This window comes from Homo sapiens, chromosome 7 (genome assembly GCF_000001405.40).
Source record: "Homo sapiens chromosome 7, GRCh38.p14 Primary Assembly".
NCBI classification, from domain to species: domain Eukaryota; kingdom Metazoa; phylum Chordata; class Mammalia; order Primates; family Hominidae; genus Homo; species Homo sapiens.
This window is the reverse complement of record NC_000007.14, coordinates 27,658,367-27,686,063: the sequence shown is the minus strand read 5'-3', so window position 1 is coordinate 27,686,063 and position 27,697 is coordinate 27,658,367. Positions and strand designations below refer to the sequence as shown.

Genomic DNA, 27,697 nt, shown 5'->3' with positions numbered 1-27,697 from the left:
CATACAATATAATATCATGCAGTCTTTAAAAAGGGAGATAGATCTATATGTATTGATTGAAAGATATATAAAGTACAATAAACAAGATGTAAAACAATGTGTATATTGTCTTGTATTTGAGTAGAAATGAAACACACACACACACACACACACACACACACACACGAAACTTGTCTGAGGTTGACTCTGGAGAGATGAATGATGCCTGAAATGAGAGGGACATTTACTTTGATTGCCCTTTTACACTGCTTGAATTTTACCATATGCTTATAATTTTTTTTTTTTTTGAGACAGAGTCTTGTTCTTATTGCCCAGCCTGGAGTGTAGTGGCACGATCTTGGCTCACTGCAACTTCCACCTCCCGGGGTCAAGTGATTCTCCTGCCTCAGCCTCCTGAGTAGCTGGGATTACAGGCGCCCACCACCACGCCCAGCTAATTTTTGTGCTTTTAGTAGAGACAGAGTTTCACCATGTTGGCCAGGCTGGTCTTGAACTCCTGACCTCAGGTGATTCACCCACCACAGCTTCCCAAAGTGCTGGGATTACAGGCATGAATTAAGGCTCTAAAATACTCCAAAAGTGAAATAAAATTAAAACTAACTCACCATTTCATTTAGAATGTTTTTGAAAGTAACAGAAAACCAGACTTCACTTAGTTTTCATTGGCTTATGTAACTGGGAATTTACATAATGGAAGTCCAGAGTAGGGCAGGCTTCAGGTTTCACCTGGTGCAGGCTGCCAAGACTGTTATTTATTCCTGTTTGTTGGATTTATTTTCTTTCTCTTTTTTCTTTTTGAGACAGGGCCTCACTTTGCCACCCAGACTGGAGTGCAGTGGCACAATCACGGCTCACTGCAGCCTCAACCTCCTGGGCTTAGGTGGTCCTCCCACCTCAGCCTTCTGAGTAGCTGAAACTACAAGTGTGCACCACCATGCCCAGCTAATGTTTATTTGTTTGTTGAGACGGAGTCTTGCTCTGTCACCCAGGCTGGAGTGCAGTGGTGCAATCTCGGCTCACTGCAACCTCCACCTCCCTGGTTCAAGCGATTCTCCTGCCTCAGCCTCCCAAGTATCTGGGACTACAGGCACAAGCCACCACGCCTGGCTAATTTTTGTATTTTTAGTAGAGACGGGGTTTCACCATATTGGCCAGGGTGGTCTCAAACTTCTGACCTCAAGTGACCCACCTGCCTTGGCCTCCCAAAGTGCTGGGATTACAGGCATGAGTCACCGTGCCTGGCTAGATTCCTTTTCACATTGGCTTTTCTCATGACCAAATGTTACCTTCACATCTGCTCTCCTTAATGTCCAGAGAAAGAGAGAAAAGCTCTCAGAAGATTCTGCACGTGTCCTCTTATGTCTCATTGGCTTAAACTGGTTCTTATGTCATTCCTGAACTAATCCCTGTGGTCAAAGGAACGCCATATGCAGATAAGCTTAGGCCTGGGTTCCTGTACCAGTCACTGTGGCAAGGGAGATGACATTACCCTTCATTCAAAATGGTCTTCCTCTGGAGCTAGGTACAACAGTGTTCCCTGAAGTACGAGAGAAGAATTATACTGGAACCTGAATTAGGAAACTGTTAGAAAAGGGAAAAGAGGGAAATTGGTGCCTTGCAGGCAACCAACAAAGACCATGACTTCTACTCTAATCTTCCTCAATGCTATTATAAAAGCCTTTCCACTGTTGCCTCCAAAAAGTTTGTAAATTACTGTCAAAGAAAATGAATTAATTTTTCTTCTATTGCAACAGAATAATGCCTGGCAATAATGATCATAATATGTCTTTTAAAAAGATATAATTTATAGGAGGTTCTCTCATTTGATACAGATCAGTTGTTAGATTATCCTATTACTTAGGATACAACCATTGGGGGAATAGAAATAGAACTATATCTTCAAGAATGTCAGACTTGGAGAGGATATAGAATAATTATCATCACAATGAGGAAATAATTATAAACTCCAAAGTGGGACTCATTAGGTCTAACTTTCCTTCACTAATGATTGTCTACAAAGAAACAATGTAAAGGTTACAGAGAGAAGCCCACAAAAAGCCTAAAAAATAAGCTACAGAATCTTTCCTTGCTAATACAAATTATGTTAAAATTTTAAAGTTATGTTAAATTTATGTTAAAATTACCATGAACATTCTATCTCTCCCAGATTTAGCCCAATATAGAGTAAATACTGATGCTATCAAGAGAAACAATGGCAACTGTGAACATTGAAGCTTATCTGTTTTTCATTGTATGCCCAGCAAAAGGAGATATTCCCAAAGAACCTCATAATGGAAGCGAAGCTGAACATTTCATGGACACCATCTATAAAACAATTATTGTTGGCTGTATTTTAGACTTCAGAGTCTAGTCTTTTAGGTCTCAAAAGGCTTGATAGTTCTGGGCTGCATGGGATTCTTCTAGATGAGTTGTTGTAGTGGTGATTGAAGTGAATGATGGAGAACTATTTGGGGTGTGTAATGGACTATATGTCTGTGTCACCCCCAAATTCATATGTTAACTCTTAACATACATTCAGTGGTGAAATTTGGAGATGGAGTCTTTGGGAGGTCATTACGTCATGAGGGTGGAGTGCTCATGAATGGGACTAGTGCCCTGGTAGAAGAGGCCTCAGAGAGATCTCTCACCCCTTCAACATGTGAGAACACAGCAAGAAGACAGTATCTGTGAACCGGGAAGCGGGCCCTCACTAGATACTGAATCTCTTGGTGCCTTGATCTTGGATTTCCCAGCTTCCAGAACTGTAAGAAATAAATTTCTGTTGTTTATAAGCTACCCCACTTATGATACTTTTTAAAAAATAAACTTTATTGTGTATATTTAAGGTATACGACATCATGTTACAGGATACATAGAGCAAAGTAATTTTTAGAGTGGAGCAAATATATGCATCATCTCACATGGTAACTCATTTTGTGTGTAGAGGGGGTAAGAGCAGGTAAAATCTACTCATTTAGCAGGAATTCTAAATACAGCACAGTTTTATTAACTCTAGCCGTACTATAGCCATGGTGTTGTACATCAGCTCCTTAGACTTGTTCATCCTACATACCTGCTACTTTGTGGCTTCTAACTTACATCTCCCCATTTCTTCCTTCCACCCTCCAACCCTGGTAGCCACTGTTTTATTCTCTATCTCTGCATATTTCACTCTTTTTTTTTAGATTCAACTTATAAGTAAGATAATGTAACACTTTTCTGTCTGTGTCTGGCTTGATTTCACTTAGCATAATGTTATCCAGTTTCATCCACGTTGTGGGAAATCACAGGAGCCCTTTGTTTTTGGAGACAGAGTCTTGCTCTGTCACCCAGGCTGGAGTGCAGTGGTACAATCTCGGCTCACCACAACCTTCGCTTACCAGGTTCAAGTGATTCTCCTGCCTCAGCCTCCCAAGTAGCTGGTACTACAGGCTCCTGCCACCATGACTGGCTACTTTTTTGTATTTTTTTTCCCCTCCCTGAGACGGAGTCTTGCTCTGTCGTCCTGGCTGGAGTGCAGTGGTGCAATCTTGGCTCACTGCAACCTCCACCTCCCGGGTTCAAGCAATTTTCCAACCTCAGCCTCCCGAGTAGCTGGGATTACAGATGCCTACCACCATGCCCAGCTAATTTTTGTATTTTTAGTAGAGAAGGGGTTTCACCGTGTTAACCAGGCTGGTCTCGAACTCCTGACCTTGTGATCGTCTCATCTCAGCCTCCCAAAATGCTGGGATTACAGGCATGAGCCACCACCCCAGCCTTCTTTTTTTTTTTTTTTTTTTTTTTTGGTAGAGATGGTGTTTCACCATGCTGGCCAGGCTGGTCTCAAACTCCTGACTTCAGGTGATCCACCTGCCTGGGCCTCCCAAAGTGCTAGAATTACAGGCATGAACCACTGCACCTGCCTTTGTTTTTTTGTTTTTTGTTTTTTAAAAAGACAGGGTCTTGTTCTGTTACCCAGGCTGGAGTGCAGTGGCATGATCATGGCTCACTGTTATCTTGAATTCCTGGCCTCAAATGATTCTCTCATCTTGGCCTCCCAAAGCACTGGGATCACAGGTGTTAGCCATTGTGCCTGACCAAGATCTCCCTTTTTAAGGTGGAATAAATATCCATTTTACACACACACACACACACACACATTGTGGTACATAGATATGTAAATATATTTGTATTTTTACACATATATGTAAATATTTATATATGTTTTTGTATATATACAAATATACCACACTTTCTTTTTTTTTTTTTTTTTGAGACAGTATTGCTCTGTCGCTCAGGCTGGAGTGCAGTGATGCGATCTTGGCTCACTGCAACCTCTGCCTCCTGGGGTCAAGCAATTCTCCCACGTCAGCCTCCCAAGTAGCTGAGATTACAAGCGCCTACCACCACGCCTGGCTAATTTTTGTAATTTTAGTAGAGATGGGGTTTTACCATGTTGGCCAGGCTGGTCTTGAATTCCTGACCTCAGATGATCCGCCCACCTCGGCCTCCCAAAATGCTGGGATTACAGGCATGAGGCACTGCGCCCAGCCTCCATGATTTCTTTATTCATTCCTCTGTTGTCGGCTGATGTTTTGTTACAGCAGCCCAAATAATGTAGACAGATTGAAACACATAATTGTAGTATGTATTTTAAATATTGGCTGAATGAAGTTATTTTTTAAAATTTCATAGTGTGAAGTTTGGCCTATTAAGGGCAATTACCCTATTAAGAAGATGCCCTAAATTTGAAGTATTCTAGCACGTGGTTGATGAATTCTTAGCCATGAGTTTAGGGGTAACAGGAAGTACATTCGGACCTGGAAGTGATGTCTTACAAGGCGAGTCACAAGTGTAGGTCCTCTAAAGGGTTCTACATGTATGATAGGAATCTACTCAGTGGTCTATACTGTTCTATCACATTTTGCAGGTGATGGTTGAGTGTCCAGTGTCAAGTGTAGTCAGGCACAAGTGATAAATAAAACTATCTTCATTAATAGCCCCATCTTCCCTGAGATGAACCCAGATAAACAGGAAAGTTTATGATTAAATTGGATGACATTGTACCCTAGCAGGCTTAGGGGGCAGAAAAAAGAATAATAGCATTTTGGGAATCACCCATTTATTTTTTGGCCAGGAGTACCATTTGCACTTGCCTGACTAATGAAAGAAGTTATGTTACACACGGGACCATTAGAGTCCCTAATGAGTCAAATTAGTTTCCTTGAAAGGGCCCCAGTGGCCCTCTCAGATTGCATCCTGGCACAGCAGAAAGACCTGGACCTAGGCCTTGTCTGCTGGGACATGTAACTGGCTGTATTTGCATGGGAGGCCTTCCTTACTCCTAGTTCACATGGCTGACTCTCAGGGTATGCTCAGAGCCCTGTAAGATTGGACAGATACAGAAATTTTGTTTGGTGGCACTGTATGAGTTTTGCCAGTTCTTTTGAGGTTGTAGGACTATATAGCAGAGGTTTTTGAATGAAAGATCTGGAATGGGGATAATTTTCTGACTTCTTGGTCTCAAAGCACCTTAAAACCTAAAATTAACCAGTGGAAGAATTAAGCCTCTGGCCTTAATTTATAGTGGCACATATCTGCTAAGGGCTTCATTCTGAACTTAATAGGAGTGCTAAGTCTTTTTTTCTATTTTTGAGACAGGGTCTTGCTCTGTCACCCAGGTTGGAGTACAGTGGTGAAATCATGGCTCACTGCAGCCTTGACCTCCTGGACTCAAGCGATCCTCCCACCTCAGCATCCCGCACCTCCGACCCCCAGTAGCTGGGATTACAGGCCTGTGCCACCACATTCAGCTAATTTTTGTATTTTTGTTTTTAAATAGAAATGGGGTCTCACCGTGTTGCTCAAGCTGGTCTTGAACTCCTGGCCTCAGGCGATCCACCTGCCTCGGCCTCCTTAAGTGCTGGGATTACAGGCGTGAGCCACCATGCCTGGCAATAGATCTTTTTGAGGCGGGGTCTTTAGGAGTTGAAGGTGAACTTTATGGTGAGGAGCTGCTCTTCTACCCTAGTAATTAAACTCATCTGGCATCAGTCTGTGTGAAAATACTAAGCATGTAGCAGGGCACATCTGCAGGTATTTTCTTAGGACAATGGCATTGAATGCTAATGTGTAGGGTGCATTACAGGGTCACAGACTTCCTGACTGCTGGATTCTGAGTGACCCCCTGGCCTTTCCCTAGAACTTCAAAGTCCCGTACGGTAGCCACTGGCCACAGGTGGCTACTGAGCACTTGAAAGGTAGCTGGTACGAATTGAGATGTACTCCAAGCATAAAATAGAACCTGGAATTAAAAGATTTAGTCTAAAAAAGTGTAAAATATATTGTTAATCATTTTTAAATATTGATTATATGAAGAAATACTATTTTTAGTATCAGGTTAAATAAAATATATTATTAAAATTAATTTCACTTATTTCTCTATCCTCTTTTGAAATGTGGCTACTAGAAAATTTAAATGGCTCAAATTATGTTTCTTTTGCATAGTGCTGCTTCAGAGAATAGTCAGTGGGAGAGTTAGACTAGTGAATGTGTGGCCAGAGGCTGTAAAATCCAAAATCTATGAATAGATATTGGGTCTGAGGAGGTGCTCTCTACAAGCAAGGCATTCAGAATTGAATTTCTCCAGTTTGCCTGGAGATCAACATACCACATCCATTTCAGTCCAGGACTTTCAGCACCAGAGGTGTGTGAGAGGCAAGATCCAGGGACCAAATAAGTCTATTAGTTCAGAGAGTCATGAAAAATGTTGTTAATCAATTGCTAGGAAACTAATATTTATAGCCAGTATTCAAACATCTGAATTGGGCTTGGAAAAACTGTTTTATTTCCTGAGAGAGATGCCCAAGGCTTTAGCCTCCTTAGAGATCTAACTCTCTGATGAGCCTCTCAGGGCCTGTTACTACTGGCTGCAGAGGAAGTGAGTGGATAATGACGCCCTAAGGTCACTGTGTGCAGGCCACAGTATTCCTGACATAGCCTCTCATTCTTCCCAAGGAGCATGGGACACTGCAGCCTGGTTTAAAGTGAGGCGGGGCTTTTCTTTTTCTTCAAGAATAGTTGGCTATATGTTGTGGGGTACTATACACATAATTCAGCATCTGCCACAAATGCATCATTGAAAGAATGGGTCATGTCAGACACTGTAGAGCTATTAGACTTTGGCTGGAAACAAATGGAAAAAGCAAATGGAAAAACAAATGGAAAACTCAGAACACTGGCCTTCTAATACAAACACTCACCTCAGTGACCAGTCATAGCCTTTCTTCCCTGAGGAATCTGCCATGTCATGGTGGGTGGGTGGGGGTGGGGTGGCATCTGGAGAGTGTTTGCCAATCTTGACTCTGTATCTTTAGGTTGCTTGATTCACCTATGCACCTGGAAGGGTAACTTTGGGCACCTAGCAGCATTTGGGAAGAATCAATTCTGACCAAAGCATTCAGTGGGCTGTACTTCAATCAACTTCCTGCTCGGTTTCCCATTTTAGCTTTCTTTCCCATTCACTGTCAAGCTGCAGACCTTTGGACTTGACAGTTATGTCTGGTGACTCCAGCCTCAGACCCTTGGCTCTCCCTCAAGAGATTTGCCTTAGATCTGTTCTACCAGAGCTCCTCTATTTGTATTTCCTTAGATATTTAAAAAAACAAAAAACAGTTAACATGGCAGGCCTGGCTCCTTACCAGGTTTGCCCTTGGCTGACATCTGCGAACTTGAATTTGGGAAAGGTTTCTACTATGCTAACTGATAAAAGTGGCTTACTATACCTAAACTATACAAACAATGTGAGTTTATGATGAATACCTGCTTTATTTCTGGGAGTCTGGAATTTGGTGGTAGGCAGAGGATGCCTATGTGATTTAACCACCAGTAAAACCCTGGGTGCAGAGTGTATAATGAGCTTCTCTGGTAGAAAACACTTCCCACATGTCATCATGACTCATTACTAAGGAGTTAGGCGTGTCTTCTGTGACTTCATTTGGAAAGAATTATCAAAAGCTTGAGCTTGGTTTCCTCTAGACTTTGCTCCATGTGCTTTTGCCTTTGCTGATTTTTCTTTGTACCCTTTTGCTATAATAAATCATAGCCATGAGTGTGACCATATGCTGACTCCTGAGTCCTTCTAGCAAATAACCAAATCTGGGGATGGTTTTGGGGGCCCTTGACATATCAGTTAATATACGGAAACCACTGGAGAAAGTCTTGAATGTAATTTTTGGTTTGATTATTTTTCTTAGAGTTCAGAATGGGAATCCCTAATACATCAAGCATTACATAATATGGTTGGGAGATCCAAAGCACTAAAGCCGAGGCTAATAATATGCGGAAAATTGGCATATGTTGTAGACTTCCCAAAAGACCCCCATTAGGACAAGTTACATAGGGTACACTCAGGAGAGATCAGTGCAGGAAGACCAAGGAAGGTTTGAAGGATTCAGTATGGCAGAAAGACATGCAAATCAGAGACAGGACCTTCCTTAAACAGAACCCAAGACCATATCCCAGAAAATGGAATAGAGAGACAAGGGCTGGTATTATCTCTGTCACATTGGCTGAGTAGGTTAAAATCAGAAAGTGTGTTGGAAAAACAAAGCAAAGCAAAGCAAAACAAAACAAAAAAAGGACCTGCAAGAAAGAATAGACTTCTTTTCTTCTGGGGGGAGGGACAGTGTCTCTGTCGCCCAAGATGGAGTGCAGTGGTACAATCTCAGCGCACTGCAACTTCTGCCTCCCAGGCTCAAGTGATCCTCCCAGCTCAGCTTCCTGAGTATTTTTAGTGGAGATGGGGTTTCACCTTGTTGCCCAGGCTGGTCTCGAACTCCTGTGCTCAAGCGATCTGCCCTCCCCGGCCTCCCAAACTGTTGGGATTACAGACGTGAGCCACTGCATCTGGCCACTTCTTTTTTAAAGTATACTGTTCTTGATAAAGCTGTAGTTAGGAATCTCTTTAGGGACAAAAAGTTTACAAATAGAAAGAGTAAAAAAAAAAATTTATTGAGAAATATTTTCATTATTCTACCCTACACAATGAAAGTTTTTTGTATATGGATGGTATAGATTAGGTTTAGCACTGAATATTTTTTATGTATTAAATATTAAAAAAAAAAAAAAGCCCTGCAAGGCCTCACTAGTTTTGTTTTCTCATGGAAAACCAGAGTTCAAATTCCCAATGGGGATGCAGCCCCTGATTTTTTGAAAGACAGAATATATAGTGGTTATGAGCATGGCCTTTGGAATCAGATGCCTTTTTTTGAGTTCTAGTCCTATTTATAGCTGTGTAATCTTGGACAAGTTAACAACCTCTTCATTTCCTAATTGTTTTCTCTTCAAATGCAAAGAATAATTATAATTGCTTCAAAGGGTTGCTGAAAGGTTGACCTGAATTGCTCCACGTAAAGGACTTACATAGTGCCTAGCATATACAGTATGCTCAATAAATGGTAGAGATCATTGTTATTATTACTATGACATGATTCCTGTGCTCTTAGAAAGTGAATCCATAGGATGTTGTGAATAATTGAGAGCTATAGTGATATGCATTGATAACTTGCGAATGTGATAAAACAAAATGCCCCTAAATTTTTAGTTATAAAACTAACTAAAAGGAATCACATGAAGGATAGCTCGAAGGCCCAGAAATTTTTTTTTTGAGACAGAGTCTCGCTCTGTCTCCCAGGCTGGAGTGCAGTGGCGTGATCTCGGCTCACGGCAAGCTCCGCCTCCCGCGTTCATGCCATTCTCCTGCCTCAGCCTCCCGTGTAAATGGGACTACAGGCGCCTGCCACTACGCCTGGCTAATTTTTTGTATTTTTAGTAGAGACGGGGTTTCACCGTGTTAGCCAGGATGGTCTCGATCTCCTGACTTCGAGATCTGCCCGCCTCGGCCTCCCAGAGTGCTGGGATTACAGGCGTGAGCCACCACGCCCGGCCAAAGGCCCAGAAAATTTTAATGAAACCAGTTTGAAGTTATTATCACATTTTAAGAATGTATCAATCAAAACAAGTCGTTGTTCAACTGTGGCAGGACAGAACAGTAGTTCCAGGACTTTGAATTTTATGACCAAGTTAGAAAAAAAATTGTAGAATGTGATGAAGTGCTGCCAACTTTTCAATTTACCCAAGACTGGCATGAAAAAGATCTAACAGTCTACTACTGCTGTCATGTCCTAAAAGAAAGATGTTTTGTCTCCAAAAAATACACATAGCATATCTTCAGAACAAAGATAGTACTTCCCAGAAAGTCTACTAATCTAGGGAGATTTTTTCCCCCCAACAGGTGAAAATCTCCTGAAAGGCAAGCAATACTCTTTGGATCAGCCCTTGGGATGAGAAAAGTCACAGTTGGGGCTGGGCACAGTGACTTGTGCTTGTAATCCCAGTGGTTCAGGAGGCTGAGGTGGGGGGATCCCTTGAGCTTGAGTGAGGAATTTTAGTGAGGCCCCCCGCTGCCTGCACAGTCTCTACCAATTTTTTTTTTTAATTAACCAGTTGTAGTGGCACATGTCTATAGTCCCAGCTACTCAGGAGGCTGAGATGGGAGGGTTGCTTGAGTCTAGGAGGTTGAGGCCACAGTGAGCTAAGAACATGCCTGAGCTAAGAACATGAATGTACTCCAGCCTGGACCACAGAGCAAGATCCTGTCTCAAAAAAAGAAAAGTCACAAAGGCAAACACCAGTAGTGTCCACTGTCCAAGCAAAAGGAAACTATGCCACCTAAATTTGACCTATTCCTGGTTCCAGTTGCAAAACCATTTATTTTTTCTTTCTTTCTTTTGTAGAATCATGGTCTCACTATTTTGCTCAGGCAGGTCTTGAACTCCAGGCCTCAAGTGATTCTCCCACCTCAGCCTCCCAAAATGCTGGAATTATAGACCTGAGACAACTGTGCCTGGCCTTGCAATACCATTTCCAATGCAAAGATAAATATAGGAGAGTTAGGCATTGATTTTGAGTACTTCCTCTTAATATGGTCACAAAAGTAACAGGACATTCACTAAACATTTGATTTATCTGTTTCTCTCATACTCATGAAGGAACCATCTAATTCCAATGTAGATCAACCAGGGAGAGCCTGGGTTGACCACCTGAACTTCAAACATTTCTAGCAAATCATGGAAATGACTTCTGAATATGGCTTAGCTTCCTATGTAGCTTCATTACAGGAGAGGGAATATGCTGATTATGTCCACAGGGGTATTGCTGTTTTATTTCTCCTAGTAAATTAATACATTTGCATTCTGGTACCTATTTTGGTCTCTTGTGCTTTTCAGACAACTTGTCCCAGTCTCTCAGGGCCTGATTACTCCCAGGCACTGAGAAAATGACATTTCCAGGATGTGGAAGCAGCTGGTCTTCTTGTATACCATGGCACATGCACACTATTCCATTTTTTTTTGCTACTTTATTTATTTTTTTTTAATTATACTTTAAGTTCTAGGGTACATGTGCACAACATGCAGGTTTGATACATAGGTATACATATGCTATGTTTGTTTGCTGCACCCATCGACTCATCATTTACATTAGGTATTTCTCCTAATGCTATCCCTCCCCCAGCCCCCCACCCTCCTACAGGCTCCAGTGTGTGATGTTCCCCACCCTGTGTCCAAGTGATCTCATTGTTCAATTCCCACCTATGAGTGAGAACATGCAGTGTTTGGTTTTCTGTCCTTGTGATAGTTAGCTCAGAATGATGGTTTCCAGCTTCATCCATGTCCCTGCAAAGGACATGAACTCATCCTTTTTTATGGCTGAGTAGTATTCCATGGTGTATATGTGCCACATTTTCTTTTTCCTTTTCTTTTCTTTTTTTTTTTTTTTTTTTTTTTGAGATGGAATCTCGCTCTGTTGCCCAGGCTGGAGTGCAGTGGTGGGATCTCAGCTCACTGCAAGCTCTGCCTCCCAGGTTCAGGCCATTCTCCTGCCTCGGCCTCCGGAGTAGCTGGGACTATAAGCGCCCGCCACCACACCCGGCTAATTTTTTGTATTTTTAGTAGAGACAGGGTTTCACCGTGTTAGCCAGGATGGTCTCCATCTCCTGACCTTGTGATCTGCCTGCCTTGGCCTCCCAAAGTGCTGGGATTACAGGTGTGAGCCACCACGCCCAGCCTATATGTGCCACATTTTCTTAATCCAGTCTATCATTGATGGACATGTGGGTTGGTTCCAAGTCTTTGCTATTGTGCACACGATTCCATTTTTAAATTCATGCCTATCTACTGACATTTACAAAAAAAATACATGGCAGTGGCTTTATTAGTCAAGGTGCAAGCTAAGCTGCTATAATAAAGAGACTCCAAAATATATTGACTTAAATAAAATGAAGTTTCTTTCTCTCTTATAAATCTAGAGTAAGAGGTCCAGGGCTGGCCTGGGGGTCTTACTTCATTAGAGCAGAGGCCTGGGTTTCATTCGGATACCCAAGTTTCTTCTGTCTCCTTGCTTTACCACCTCTCTAGGTATTGTCTTCATCCATATGGTTGAAACTGGCTCTCTCCATGTTTATATTCTAGTCTGTGGGAATGGAAAAAAAATGTCGAGGGCAGGGGACTCTGGCTTTAAGGAAAGATGTGGAAGTCACACACATCACTTCTGCTCATAGGTTATGGGCCCAGATTTAGTTATATAACCAAATCTAGCTGCAAGGTAGGCTGGAAATGTTCTGCTCAGTGTCATGCCCTGTGACTAAGAATACATAAAACATGTTGATTTCTCTGAATCATTGATCTAGACTCATGGAATAATCCCTGTGAAATTTTCCTGACCTTACTATTATGTAAAGAATAATAATAAATCTGCCTTCCCTTCCTCCCAATCAGAGGTAACCTCTAACTGAAACCTGTGTTAATTATTCTCTTGCTTAAAATAATAGTTTTAGACTGGGCACGGTGTCTCATACCTGTAATCCCAGCACTCTGGGAGGCCGAGGCGGGTGGATCACCTGAGGTCAGGAGTTCGAGATCAGCCTGGCCAACATGGAGAAATCCTGTCTCTACTAAAAATACAAAAATGAGCTGGGCGTAGTGGCGGGTGCCTGTAATCCCAGCTACTTGGGAGGCTGAAGCAAGAGAATCACTGGAACCCGGGAGGCAGAGATTGCAGTGAGCCAAGACCATGCCACTGCACTCCAGCCTGAGCAAAAAGAGCAAAACTCCATCTCAAAATAATAATAATAATAATAATAATAAATCAGCACCATAGATTTACTATCTGTATATGTATTCAAAAAATGAAATACTTTTTGTTCTGCCTGTTTTGAGTACCATATAAATGCACGTACTCTTTTGCGACTTGCTAAACATTGCTTTGACTTCTGGTTCCTTTTTGCTTGACAATTTCATCTTCAATTATTTTCTCTCCTGCTGCATTTTACTATAAATGGAAGGAACCAAGCCCCTCCTTTAACACTTGTTAGAAACCTCCAATTTCATCACTTCTGAGTTCTACCTTCCACAAAACACTAGAACATAAACACAATTCAGCTAACTACTTTGCCACATGTATAAACTAAATGGGGAAGTTTGTTTTTTGTTTTTGAGACAGGGATTCATTCTGTCACCCAGGCTGGAATGAAGTGGCGTGATCATGGCTCACTGCAGCCTCAACCTCCTGGGCTCAAGCAGTCCTCCCACCTCAGCCTCCCGAGTAGTCGGGACCACAGGCATGCACCACCACACCTGGCTAATTTATTTTATTTTTTGTAGAGGCAGTGTCTCGCTGGGTTGCCCAGGCGTGTCTTGAACTCCTGGGCTCAAGCAGTCCTCTCACCTCAGCCTCCCAAAATGCTGGGATTACAGGTGGGAGCCACCCTGCCCAGCCCTCTACTCACTTTTCCCCCTTAGCATTTAAACATACTCAAATCTCTTTCCTCTTTAAAATGAAAACAAACAAATAAAAACCTTCATTAAATTTGCTGTCTTCTGATTTCTCCTTTCCTTCACAGGCCATGTTTCTTGAAAAAGTGGGCAAGATTCATTGTCTTTATTTCTCCATTTCTCATTCTTCCCTTGACCTATTGTGAGTGGCCCCACCATTTCACTGAACCTGCTCTCCCTTATTAAAGTCAACAATAACTCTTAGCTGTAAAAGCCTATACCGACTTTTCTGTACTTATCTTACCAATCACTGATTATAATAACCAGCACTGTGAAATATTCCTTCCTTAAGCTTTGTTGCTGCTTCAACTTCTATGACATCATTCTTGTTTTCCTCCTCAACGGCCCCTCCTTCTCCATCTTCATAAACTTATTTTTCTACACCCTTTCCCACCTCCTTAGGGGTGTTCCCAGGGGTTTTATCAGAAACCATGTTGCCTTCTCATTTTATAAATGTTTGGATGACCCCATCTACATTGATGATTTAAGTATCATCTATTAGCCCACGACTCCCAGATATATATCTCTAACTCACACTCTCCATATGGCCAACTGCCCTTGAATAATGTCCACTTCCGACTCACTGTTACACAGTTCCCTGTGTTGGGAGATGGCACTTTCATCTATCCACTCACCCAAACGCCTGGGAATCTACCTAGATTATCCATTCTCCTTCAAGTCTCCTTCAACCCCTGGAAGTAAGTGATAATATTAATTTTGCACCCCAGATATCTCTCATACCTGCCTCTTTCTTTCTATGCTTGCTATCACTGCTAGCATGATTTATTCCTGAGCATCTCTTATGTCTTAGATAGTTTTACCTTTTATGGAAGTGGCTCTCAATTATCACTGTAAAGCAGAACTTGAGGAAATTAAAAATAAATTCAGCTGGGTGTAGTGGCTCACGCCTGTAATCCCAGTACTTTGTGAGGCTGAGGTGGGTGGATCACCTGAGGTCAGAGTTCGAGACCAGCCCGACCAACATGGTGAAACCCCATCTCTACTAAAAATACAAAATTAGCTGGGCATGGTGGCACATGCCTGTAATCCCAGCCACTCGGGAGGCTGAGGCAGGAGAATTGCTTAAACCTGGGAGGCGGAGGTGGCAGTGAGCCGAGACTGTGCCATTGCACTCCAGCCTGGGCAACAAGAGCAAAGCTCCATCTGAAAAAAAAAAAAAAAAAAAAAAAAATCAAATGGTTGATGACTCACCTTAGAAATTACTTTTGGATGGGGACTGGACTTTCACATTTCGAAAAAATTCTAATGTGCACTTAGGATGGCAAGCCATTGCTTTATGATCTGTGAAGATGAATTGGAAGTGGGTTGGAAGATGAACTGAACCATCTTGGGCCAGATGTAGAAGTAATCTGACTAGGAAATATCAGAGTGATCCAAGGCTACCAGAATTATGTTATGAGTCTCTGGTAATTAAACTCTTGAACAAAATCAAATAAACAACAGCAAAACCATATACTTCAGCTTTTTTTGTTATAATTGGTATATGGGATATTGAACAAAGTTGATCCACTGCTTCCTCAATCACAAAGGGGCCAGTAGGTTACATAAACATACGATGTCAACATGGGAGACTGCCTGACTTCTCCAAAGGCATCTGATTCCAATTTTTTCTTTTTCTTTTATTATTTCAGTCTAATCCCATGACAGATTGTGATTCCAATTTTTAAAAGCACTGCAGTACATTTTGAAGATGAGATTTTACCTGGAGCTGCCAGTCTAAAACCCTGTTTAAAGTCACGTCTATGTATTAATTTGCTCAGTCACTGTCTGAGGTCGACACCCATTGTTGTTATCCTGTAGCCCTTCATCCTCTTGTGGGTTAAAAAACCCAGAACATATCTTTCCCTCATCTCCCATGCTCAAGCCATAGTTTGAGTGAGAATGACCTCAACTTAGCTCCACTGTGAGCCCTGATACCAGAGCTTTGTATTATTCCATTGTTATGGCAATAGTAATTGATTCAGAGGTAAGCAAGAATCTAATCAGTATCTGTGAGGACAAAAGTTTCCTCCGTCTTCCATAAGAAAGTTCATATCCACCCCAGGATGGTTCAGTATGAGAATGTAAGCAGCCATAGCCACTGGCCACTGCCAGGGGAGCAACTAGGACAGTGCGTGATGCTTGAAGATGAAGCCAAGACCATGGCAGGTAGAGTGGAACAAGTCTCTCTACTACAGACTTTTCAGTAATGCAGACCAACACCCTCTTTTTATTTCTTTAAGCAAATTAAAATTTTAAAATAATTTGTGCGATGGTCTGAATGTGTTCCCCAAAATTGATAGCTGGAAACTTAATCCCCCATGCAACAGTATTGGGAGGTGGGGCCTTCTGGGAGGTGTTTAGGTCATGAGGGCTCTGCCACTATAAAAAGGACTTGTGGGAGTACATTTGCCCTCTTTCACTCTTCTGCCATGTGAGGACACAGCCAGCAGGCCCACAGAAGATGCCACCTTAATCTTGGACTTCCCAGACCCCAGAACTGTGAGAAATAAATTTCTGTTTTTTACAAATTACCCAGTTTGTGGTGTTCTGTTACAGCAGCACAAAATGAACTAAGACAACTTGTGACATAAAGACTGATTTACTATGTGGTCTTTATTAGAATTAAAATAGTTTTGGCCAGGCGCGGTGGCTCACGCCTATAATCCCAACATTTTGGGAGGTGGAGGCGGGTGGATCACCAGAGGTCAGGAGTTCAACACCAGCCTGGCCAACATGGTGAAACCTCGTCTCTACTAAAAATACAAAAAATTAGCTGGACCTGGTGGCAGGTGCCTGTAATTCCAGCTACGCGGGAGGCTGAGGCAGGAGAACCACTTGAACCTGGGAGGCGGAGGTTGTAGTGAGCCAAGATCATGCCATTGCACTCCAACCTGGGCAACAAAAGCGAAACTCTGTCTCAGAAAAAAAAAAAAAAGTTTTATCACTTGTATACATCCCTTTCTAATATTATTAATTCATATGCTAGTTAATTTTTTTTTTGCTAGTTATATAACTAGCAAAAAAGTAAGGATGATTTTGAATCTTCCCATACTGAGAGGTCATAAAAATTCAGGTCCATGACTGAGGAACAAAATTATCAAGATGGAACAGTGATTTATGGGAATTTGTAACACCTTTATACCATAGACATCATCAAAAGAGATAAGTCTCAGGCTCCTTACTATCATGCCATATTAGAAAGTATGCTGGGTGTGGTGGCTCACACCTGTAATCCCACCACTTTGGGAGGCCGAGGCAGGTGGATCACTCGAGGTCAGGAGTTCGAGACCAGCCTCACAAACATGGTGAAACCCCATCTCTACTAAAAAAATATAAAATTAGCCGGTGTGGTGGCACATACCTGTAATCCTAGCTACTTGGGAGGCTGAGGCAGGGGAATCGCTTGAACCCGGGAAGCAGAGGTTGCGGTGAGCCAGGATCACGCCATTGCACTCCATCCTGGGCAACAAGAGTGAAACTCCGTCTCAGAAAAAGAAAAGAAAAGAAAAAAGATAATGAAAGATGTAGTGCATTGCTCAATAGTATTTATGAACATTAACATGTTTGGATATGTTTTATGAAACAGAAACAAAAGAATATAGTTAATTCATTTGATTATATGTTCATATTGAATTTGCATGTTGAGGGCCACATAGTAAGTAAAATAACTCTGAATATAAATTGGGTTGTATGATAATAATAATTGGCAAAATCAACAGATATTTATTTCATGGTAATTAAATTTATTCAATAACCTTTTGTAATCCATATTTACAAGGATCTTGCAATCCAATTACAAGATAATTGTTGACCACAGTCAAAGGTAGACATATAGAACTGGAAAACACACAATTGTTGCTACTGGATTATAATTGCTTCTAGGCCCCCTCAGATGACAGAGCAAAGAGACATGTGTATACTAACCTGTGTCTATATACACATTGATAAATATTTCTATATGTAACCATCTGTATCTATATTAAGTTAAGCATGAGTTCATACTGATGTCTCCAACTTTAATCCATTTAAATAAATGCAATAATATGTACTTAGATTTGCTCTTATCTTAGGACACAACTCAATTATCTTACCGGTGTTTTGTGTTCCAAAATTTTTAAAACTGCCTAGAACAAAGACTTGTCATGCCATCCAAATCTTATGGCTAAGTGACTAAGTTCTGGCCAGTGGGAAGGACAATTGTGGGGTGGGACTTATAGGGAGGCTTCTGAAAATGAGAACAGTTTGCTGACACACCTCTTTCCTTTACTTTTCCCTCCTTTTCTTTCCTCTTGCCTGGAACTCAGACAAGATGGTTGGACCACTAGCAGCTATCTTTGATCATGAAGTAATTATGAGGTTAGAAAATCATTTTAGACAGTAAAACAAAATGAGAAGTTTGGAATTTTGACAACTCAGAGCTGTCAAACTGGCCCTGGTTCTGCCTACATCCACACTACTTTTATGAGAGGAAAAACCAAATTGTTATCATTTGGACTTTGTTTTATCCAACCAAACCTGATGCTGATAGTTTTTGAAAGTGACTTTAAATGTAGTTTCTTAATCAAACTGGATTGTTTTTATGACTGCTTATATATTATTCAGAAAAAGACTTCTTGAGGAAAGTCACTTTGAGTTGAGTCCTAACAAGTGGGGAGTGTAGAAGCAGTATTAGAATGTGTGGAAAAGAGAAAGGAAGGAAAGAAGAAAAGCAGAGAACCTGAGGAACTCAGAGTGCTCTGGGAAAGGGAAAGAGTACTGCATTGTCAGGGAGGTGAGTACAGAGAGAATGATATCTTAGGAATAGGCGTAAAAATGATTAGATAGTGTGGGTATTGTTGGGAAAGTCTTATTCCTCTTCTTCCCAGATTCTGAGATTCTGATGACAGGAATGTTAGATTTTTTTTTTTTGAGACGGAGTTTCACTCTTGTTGTCCAGGCTGGAGTGCAGTAACGCGATCTCGGCTCACTGCAACCTCCTGCTCCCAGGTTCAATCGATTCTCCTGCCTCAGCCTCCTGAGTAGCTGGGATTACAGGCGCCCACCACCATGCCCAGCTGATTTTTGTATTTTAGGTAGACACGAGGTTTCACCATGTTGGCCAGGCTGGTCTTGAACTCCTGACCTCAGGTGATCCACCTGCTTGGGCCTCCCAAAGTGGGATTACAGGCGTGGGCCACCACACCCAGCTGAATGTTAGATCTTTTGTTAAGAGTCACAACACATGCCCCTGAGCTTCGTGGCTTTTTTTTTTTGAGACGGAGTCTCGCTCTGTCGCCCAGGCTGGAGTGCAGTGGCACAATCTCGGCTCACTGCAAGCTCCACCTCCTGGGTTCACGCCATTCTCCTGCCTCAGCCTCCCGAGTAGCTGGGACTACAGGCGCCCGCCACCACACCTGGCTAATTTTTTTGTATTTTTAGTAGAGACGGGGTTTCACCGTATTAGCCAGGATGGTCCCGATCTCCTGACCACGTGATCCGCCCGCCTTGGCCTCCCAAAGTGCTGGGATTACAGGCTTGAGCCACCTCGCCCAGCGCTTCGTAGCTTTTTAAATCCCAGTCTAGTTTCTCTCTGTTTAGATTAGATAGTTTCTACTGTTCTATCTTCTAGCTCAGTGATTCTTTTCTTTATTCTGCTGTTGAGTTAAAAAATTGTATTTCTTGCATTTTTTCAGTTTTAAAATTTCCATTTATTTCTTCTTTATATGTTGTTTCTTTGCTGAGATTTCTTTTTATTTAATTCAAGCATGTTTTATTGTTTTATTTTACTTTTTGAGAAGGAGTCTCACTCTGCCATCCAGGCTGGAGTGCAGTGGCGTGATAGCTCACTGCAACCTCCGCCTCCTGGGTTCAAGTGATTCTCCTGCCTCAGCCTCCTGAGTTGCTGGGATTACAGGTGCCCACCACCACACCTGGGTAATTTTTGTATTTTTTTGGAAGAGATGGGGTTTTACCATGTTGGCCAGGCTGATCTTGAACTCCTCACCTCAAGTGATCTGCCAGCCTCGGCCTCCCAAAGTGCTAAGATTACAGGTGTGAGCCACCATGCCTGGCCTCAAGCATGTTTTAATTGCTTCTTGAAATATTTTCTGATGGATGCTTTCAAATCTTTGTTAGATAATTTTAACTTGTCATCTCAGTGTTGGCATCTATTGTCTTTTTTATTCAGCTTGAAATCTTCCTGGGTTTTGGAATCATGAGTCATTTTTTAATTGAAATTTGGTATCATGAGTGATTTTTTGTTGAAATCTGGACATTTGGGTATTATGATATTTTGGATATTATTTAAACCTTTTATTTTAACTAGTTTTTCTTGACACTGCTCTGGCAGGGGGCATCAACTTGTAAATGGCAACTGGTAGTAGAAGTCTAGGTTCCTTATTCCACCTCTGTTGACACCAAGGGTGGGTGGTTCCTTGTTACTGCTGGGCAATGGTGGGAGTTTCAGCTCCCCACTAGTTGTCCACTGATACTTCCCTAGTTGAGAGGGCTTGGAATGGCTCCTTACTGCCCCCATGTAGCCTCCAGTGACACCATGGAGGGGAAGGGGTGTGACATCCTTACCATTGGGCAGTGATGAAAGCTCTGACTCTCCAATACACCTCCAATTACACCATCTAAGCAGGGAAAGGGAGGGGTACCTCACCACTGTAAGGTAGGAGTGGAAATCCAGGGTCGCCCTGTGGTTTCCAGTGACACTGAGAGTAGGGAAGGATGTGTGTGGAGGATTACTTGTTACTGCCCAGTTGAAGATGAAAATCCCATACCTCTCTTTGGTTTTCTCTGACATCACCTTAGAGGGGTTGAGGAGTAGAGCGATTGGGGTGTTAGGATGCTGGGGTGTCTCATCACAACCTGGAGAGTGTGGAAGTCTAGGCTCCCAACTCAGCCTTTGCTTTATGGGGTGGGGTCAGTGTGTGTATGTATGTGTGTATTGTTTGTCTACAGTGGAGTGATTATCTTCTAAATGTTTCCTTTCTTGCTAGGCCACTCCTTTTTCATCACTTGGCTAGAAAGAGCAGCCTTTTATTGGGGCACTTTTTGTCTATCTATGCTTCCTGGCATTTTGGGGTTTCTGGTTTTGGCTTCTCCAGCACCCAGTTTGGGGTATATAAGGCTACATGAAAACCCAAGGAACTTCCCACCGTGTTGCTCTCTGGACCCTAGCCAGTGTGACTTCTCTCCACCTTTCAAAGTCTCCCTATGTTTATCTTATATATAATGTTGAGTTTTTAGTTGTACTTAGAAGAATAGGGAGAAACCTATCTACTCCATCTTCCTGGAAGCGGAAGTCAGGGGCCACTATAAGGCATTGAAACAATTACAAACAAAAATGCGTGGCAAAGACTCAGGGAGGAGTTGCAGTGCCTTTCAAACAAGGGCATCAGGAGGGCAATCAAATGAAGAAAGCTAACCAGCCATAGGCAGGAACTGCATTTGCCAGTACAATAATATCTGCAAGCACCTTCAAACAGTAAGAATTACTTAAAAATTCATAACGCTTCTTTAAAATCATGGAAACCTATGAAAATTCCTTAGTTTATGAATCAATGTAGGGCTTCTTGGAGGAGACATTGTTGGAGAAGACAATGCAGGGCTTCTTGGAGGAGACACAGTTGAAAGACCAATTGCAGTTCAGGAGTTAATTATAGAAACCTGTAGTGCTGGAGGAAGAAAAAGAAAAAGAAACCTGTAGGCCCACATTTGTTGCCTGCAGGAGATCTATTCCAGCTAAAACCTGACGAAACCAGGAAGAGAGGCACAGGTGGGAAATGCTCCAGAAACTAATTTACCCCTAGTAGGGGTGGGGACCCAAATCTAGGAGAAGGTCTAATTGTTGAAATGAGTTTTTTCTCCCTCCCTCCCTTCGTCCCTTTCCTTCCTTCTTTTCATTTAGTGTTGGGTAGAGGGTTGGGGTGGAGTGATGGTCAAAGAAGGGCATTAACTTCCTCCCAGTTACAGATAGGGACCTTGCACTCTGTACAAGTTTTTAAGTTTTTGGAAACGTTGCCAGCATGCCCAGAAACATGAAAAGAGCCCAGATGGAAATGATCCAATTCCTTTGCTTTCAACTCCATGGGTTACTGAGTTGAAAAAAAGGTCAAAGTCAAATTTTGTTGATTGTGCTACTTAGATTGGGGTTCGCATTTCCCTAGCTACTCCATACACATTCTCTTTCCTGCTGTATTGCCATTCTCCAAAGGCTATAGTCTTGCTTTGGTGTGGTCATGGCTTCCAACCCTTTGGTGGAGTCAGTGGAGATGAGAAGGCCTGCAATTACCCCCAAGGGGTTTACAGACTCAAATATGTACACTAAGCATTGACAGAAGAATGACTAAATGTCTGTCTCTCTGCACCGCGCAGTGGCTCACGCCTGTAATAACCAGCACTTTGGGAGGCCGAGGCGGGCGGATCACTTGACGCCAGGAGTTTGAGACCAGCCTAGGCAAAATGGCGACACCCCGCCTCTACTCAAAGTGCCAAAAAAATTAGCCGGGTGTGGTGGCGCACGCAGGCCTATAGTCCCACCTCACCTACTCCGGAGGCTGAAGCAGGAGAATCACTTGAACCCGGGAGGCGGAGATTGCAGTGAGCCGAGATCGCGCCACTGCACTCCAGCCTGGGTGACAGAGAGACTCCGTCTCCAAAAAAAAAAAAGGTCTTTCTAATACACATACATATACTACTACTTTCTGGATTTTATATTTAGTTTTGCTTACAAAATGGATTTAGGGTGTAGAATTTTCAAAGATTAGAGAAATATGCCTTGAAATAGAAAGTGCAAGTTTCTAGTAACTCTTCCCTTCAAAGATAATGTTACCAACTTCTTTTCCTACTATTTTTAGTATTGAGAAACTGTTGTGTTAAGTAAAATCAAATGAATTTAAAAGTTATTACACACATGGTAGCTTTCTGAGTGTTTTTCAAGCTGCGAGTCAGTTTTGTCCTTTTTAACACGCAGCGGTTGTGGGGACAAGGTTTCCGAGGAGGCGGGAGCGAGCGACGGCCCCCGCCTCCCACACGCCCTCTGCTTTGGTAAACAAGGAGACTCCCGCCCGCAGGCTGTAAATGAGGCACGAGCTTGGGGGCAGCGCCAGGGCGCCTGGCGTCACTGTTCAAAAAGGCCTCTTATTGGTCCTTCGCACAGCTGCGGACCTGGGAATTCTGATTGGTCTGCTTCCCTGTCCGTAAAGGGATTGACAGGCCCTGCCGCGTCAGGCCGCTCCTCTCGGCTCCGCGCTCCTTCCCTCGCGCGTGGGCACCCGCCCCCGAGCGGTGAGAGCGCGTGCGCGCGCGCCCTTCTCCGTGGGCGAGCCAGCCAGTCCCGCTGCACACGCTCGCAGTCTGTGGGCCCTCCGGGAGGCGGCGGAGGTCACCGCGGGGAGAGGGGCGGGCGCAGCATGGCAGCCTCCTTACGGCTCCTCGGAGCTGCCTCCGGTCTCCGGTACTGGAGCCGGCGGCTGCGGCCGGCAGCCGGCAGCTTTGCAGCGGGTAAGGACCTCACGCCTCCTCCCCCTTGTCCTTCTTTCGGCCGCTCGCTTCTTCTGTCCAGACGGCCGAAGAAGTCTTTTCTCGGGAGGCCCTGCGGTTGGGCTGGGGCTTAAAAAACAATATTTTGGCTGGTACTAAAGGCCTGTCCTTTTCTGCGGCCGCCACTCACTCCGCGAGTACCCCCCTCTGCCTTCCCTCCCTTTCTCCCGGGCTCCTGATGAACGGGTTCAGCGCCCTTTTCGGGATTTAGGAAGAGGTGGGGAAGAGCTTGGGCTGAAGAGAAGAGAGTATTTGGGACCCCGGCATGCTGCTTTGGAGTTAGGACTCCGAGGACGTTTGGAGCGCCCAACTCCAGGAGCAACCCGCACTCACCCCAGCGACCCCTGGTCTTTCAGCGCCCCCAGGGTGCACCTTGGGTTGGGGACACACTTGGGCAGCAGGGCCTGATGTTTAACCACCTGAGTCCGAGGGGATGGCCTTATTACACAAGCGGTGGCTGTACAAGCCAGGCAGTAAGTCTTTCAGCAAAGTTTCAGTCACCCTTGACCAGCAAGACGGGCTTCCCCCCTCTACTGTAACCTAAAAAAATGTCATTTTTGTCAAATTATGAACCAAAACACGTTCAGCGTCCTCAAGATTGTGGGCAGAATTAATCCTGCCTCCCTCCTCTCATACCATGGTAAATTGTGGAAGCTAGCCATGAACTTACAAAGAGGCAGTTTTTAGAGCCAGGATGAAGATCCACGGAGATCTAATACAGTCTTTCATACTCCGCACGAGGGACATGAGGCCCCTTGGATGAGTGAATCAGGATATTCCCAGCAAGACCTAGAAAGTTGTTATCAGTTGTTCCTAATTCCTTAACTTTCTATCACACCAGGACTCCTCTTTAATTGAAAAATTGGTTGATTTGTGGGGGCACTGCCGTTGTCTTCCTCAAACTGAAAGTTTGAGAGTTGTAACAATGCATCGTTTAGCAAGATCATACTGAGGATTAATAACAAAAAAAACCTTGGCATTAATTTTTTCTAATCTTTGCTTAAAAAAAAAATAGTGGGTTAGGATTTGAGCCCCTTGGCCCCCCGCCCTTTTTTTTTTTTTTTTTTTTTTTTGAGACAGGGTCTCTGTCGCCCAGGCTGGAGTGCAGTGGCCCAGTCACACTGCTCACTGCAGTCTCGACCTCCTGGGCTCAGGTGATCCTCCCACCTCAGCCTCCCGAGTAGCTGGGATTACAGGCATGTGCCACCACGCCCGTCCAATTTTTGTATTTTTAGTAGGGACGGAGTTTCGCCATGTTGCCCAGGCTGGTCTTGAACTCCTGCGCTCAAGTGATCCTCCCAAAGCGTTGGGATTATAGGCATGAACCACTGTGGCTGGCCAGGAATTGTAAGAACTTTCTCTTACAATTCTTAACAGCTTCCCATTCTCCCCCTCAGTGAAACCTCTGAATTTCCTTTCTGGCTGGAGAAGAACAGAGGCTCGGTGAGATGCAAGAGACCAGATGTCTGATACAGAACCACAGTAACAAGATAAAAACTCAGAATATGCCAAACTTGAATGTAACCACTGTTTGAGCTTCATATATTGAGCTACAAAAATGCTTCCGACTTTTGAGATAACCCTAAAAGAATAGACACTTTTCCACAGTAGCACCAGTTTTCACATGAATTCACAATTCTTTCAGTTCCCATTAGCCAAGGAAGACATATTTGCTGTTTAGTGGTTTTACAAGGTGTTCTAATGGTATTTTAATGAACCCTTGATGTACCTTTTAGAGTTATGAAAGTTCTTACCAATTCATGGTGAAAGAGCCTGAGGCCTAAGACTGTAATACGTGCCTCTGTAAACTGGGAGGGCCTACCTCAGAGTGCTGATTAGACTACTTTGGCATATGGTCTTGTACTTTGGGTTCTTTGGCCCAAAGGTAATTGTCAGAATATAGATTTCTGATAAATTTTAAATAGTTCTTTTGTGATGAAGTGGTTAAATCACTTAAGCAATTTTTTTTTCTCTTGAAAAAAATTTTTTTTTTTCCCTCGGAGTCTTTGTCTGTCGCCCAGGCTAGAGTGCATTGGCGCAATCTCAGCTCACTGCAAGCTCCGCCTCCCAGGTTCACGCCATTCTCCTGCCTCAGCCTCCGGAGTACCTGGGACTACAGGCGCCTGCCACCACGCCCGGCTAGTTTTTTGGTATTTTTTAGTAGAAACGGGGTTTCACCATGTTAGCCAGGATGGTCTCTATCACTTGACCTCGTGATCCGCCCGCCTTGGCCTCCCAGAGTGCTGGGATTACAGGCGTGAGCCACTGTGCCCGGCCTTTCTTTGGAATTGTTTTAAACATTTAAATTTCTGTTAATTTTAGTTTACTGCAAAAGTGTTAACTTTTCTGACATTAGATTCTTAAAGAGTAGAAAAAAATCTGCCTGCAAGTTTGGAGTCAAATGACATTAAGAAAAAGAACCATGTTCAGATAGTAATGTGTGATGTTCTGAATTCTGTTGGATATTTGTAGTATGTTTAAGATGTTTATATCATATGAATGATAATATTATAAGGAGCTATATAATTTACTGTTTAAAAAAATGAAACCTGAAAGTTGCCGGTTAGTAGCACATCTTTTTAACTTTTTTATAAATACATTTTAGAGACAGGTCTCCCCGTGTTGTCCAGGCAGGAGTACAATGGCACCTACTTAGCTCACTGCAACCTTGAACTCCTGTACTCAAGTGATCTTCCGCCTCAGCTTCCCAAGTAGTTAGGATTGCAGGGTGCACCACGATACCTAGCTAATTTAAAAAAAAATGTTTTTTGAGACAAGGCTAGTTGCCTACTACGCTGGTCTAGAACTACTGGCGTGAAGCCATCCTCTTGCCTTGACCTCCCAAAGTGTTGGGCTTACAGGCATTAGCCACTGTGCCCAGCCTGCCACATCTTAATTTTTAAATGTTTGTTTGTTTGTTTGTTTGTTTATTTGAGATGGGGTCTCTCTCTCTCTCTTGTCCAGGCTGGAGTGCAGTGGTGCAATCATGGCTCATTGCAGCCTCAACCTCGTGGGCTCAAGCAATCCCCCTGCCTCAGCCTCCCAAGTAGCTGGGACCACAGGTGCACACCACCACACCTGGCTTTATTTATTTATTTATTTTTTTTGTAGAGATGGGGTCTCACCATGTTGCCCAGCCTGGTCTTGAACTCTGGGGGTCAACTGATCCTCCTGCCTCAGCCTCCCAAAGTACTGGGATTACAGTCATGAGCCACTGTGCCTAAGCCTAATTTTAAAATACTTAAAGCATTGAAAAGGAAATAGAAGAATGAGAAATGTTAAAGTGTACATGTATTACTATTTCATCACCTGTTTGATAAAATTGTGTATGTTATTTTAGAAGGTAATTAAGTTTAGTTTCAGACTTATTTGTACAGAGAAGAAAATCTACAGCTATAGGCCCTCTACAAAATGTCACGTTGTGACTCTACAGCTTGTACATGGAAAAATAAATCACATCAGATCATCTTGAGGTGACCACCTGACCAAAGGTAGAATGGAAAAATTAGCATCATGTATAGAAACAGGAATACAATTTTTAATATTATTGGTCCTTTTTGTATATGTGAAATTTACTTTCAAAGTAGCATAACTCATTGGATAAATCAAATATATAATGGCAGTTTTTCCCTTTACATTAGCTTCTAGGGCTGCACATGAAGTTCTGAAAAGCTGCTCATGGTCCGGGGCCTAAAAGTTGACCCTAAACTTGTGAAATTACATAAGGAGCGTATTTATTACTAAAATAAGTTGACTGAAACCGTAAAGGCCTTTATAGAGAAAGTCGTCACCCTTAGTTTAGTAACTGTTAATAGTAAAGCAGATAGAGTGCTTATGACGTAGTATTATGTGATAAAATAGATATAAAAAATGTATTATGTGATAAAATAGACATACATTGTATAGAAAATATAACCTTATGATATAATGAAAAATGCAGTCAAAAGACTGAAAGTCCATGCAAAATGTTTTTTTTATTTTTGTGTAATGAGATTGCTTCCCCTTACAACTGTATACTTTTTCATTCTAGTTTTCTACAATGAAAATGCATTACTTTGAATAGAAAAGAAGCCTCAGAAATGTAAAATAATTAACTTGTTACCAATTTTTGCATTTTGACACTTAGTGAAACCTGCTTTTTGATAGCACTTAAGGTTATCAAGATACGGATAACTCCCCTTGTTACATTGGAGAAAGAGGTCATAATCGGTAAATTTGCATCTATAAATTTAGAAACAAACTTTGCCAAGTTTTCTGGCTAGTTTCTTTTCATTCGTCCTCAGTAATAGACA

At 42.7% G+C, this 27,697-nt stretch overlaps 1 protein-coding gene and 1 long non-coding RNA gene across 3 annotated transcripts in view, besides 3 other annotated features; one reads left to right on the top strand and one right to left on the bottom strand.

Annotated features, from left to right (window-relative positions):
* The window catches only part of LOC105375211 (uncharacterized), a 75,204-nt gene that overhangs the window by 36,986 nt on the left and 10,521 nt on the right, over nt 1-27,697 (bottom strand). The window lies entirely within an intron of this gene.
* Nucleotides 7,265-8,464: an enhancer, noted in NCBI's record as "MED14-independent group 3 enhancer chr7:27717219-27718418 (GRCh37/hg19 assembly coordinates)". NCBI's record gives its function as "activates an origin of replication core promoter dependent on BRD2, BRD4, P300/CBP and CDK7 cofactors, and independent of MED14, by STARR-seq in HCT116 cells {active_cell/tissue: HCT116}" and the evidence as "EXISTENCE:reporter gene assay evidence [ECO:0000049][PMID:35650434]".
* Nucleotides 22,627-23,444: an enhancer, noted in NCBI's record as "H3K27ac-H3K4me1 hESC enhancer chr7:27702239-27703056 (GRCh37/hg19 assembly coordinates)". NCBI's record gives its function as "activates a minimal SCP1, AML or CMV promoter by ChIP-STARR-seq in naive H9 embryonic stem cells {active_cell/tissue: H9 hESC(naive)}" and the evidence as "EXISTENCE:reporter gene assay evidence [ECO:0000049][PMID:30033119]".
* Nucleotides 22,992-23,411: a silencer, noted in NCBI's record as "silent region_18043". NCBI's record gives its function as "represses an Ori minimal core promoter by ATAC-STARR-seq in GM12878 lymphoblastoid cells {active_cell/tissue: GM12878}" and the evidence as "EXISTENCE:reporter gene assay evidence [ECO:0000049][PMID:35858748]".
* Nucleotides 23,181-27,697, top strand: part of HIBADH (3-hydroxyisobutyrate dehydrogenase) — a 137,442-nt gene continuing 132,925 nt past the window's right edge. For both annotated transcript variants that reach the window (NM_001430749.1, NM_152740.4), the window contains exon 1: nt 23,181-23,366. Coding sequence is in view for 1 of the 2 variants with exons in the window: in NM_152740.4 (NP_689953.1) it covers nt 23,276-23,366 (91 nt within the window). In the remaining variant the exon portion in view is untranslated. The remainder of the gene's footprint in view (nt 23,367-27,697) is intronic.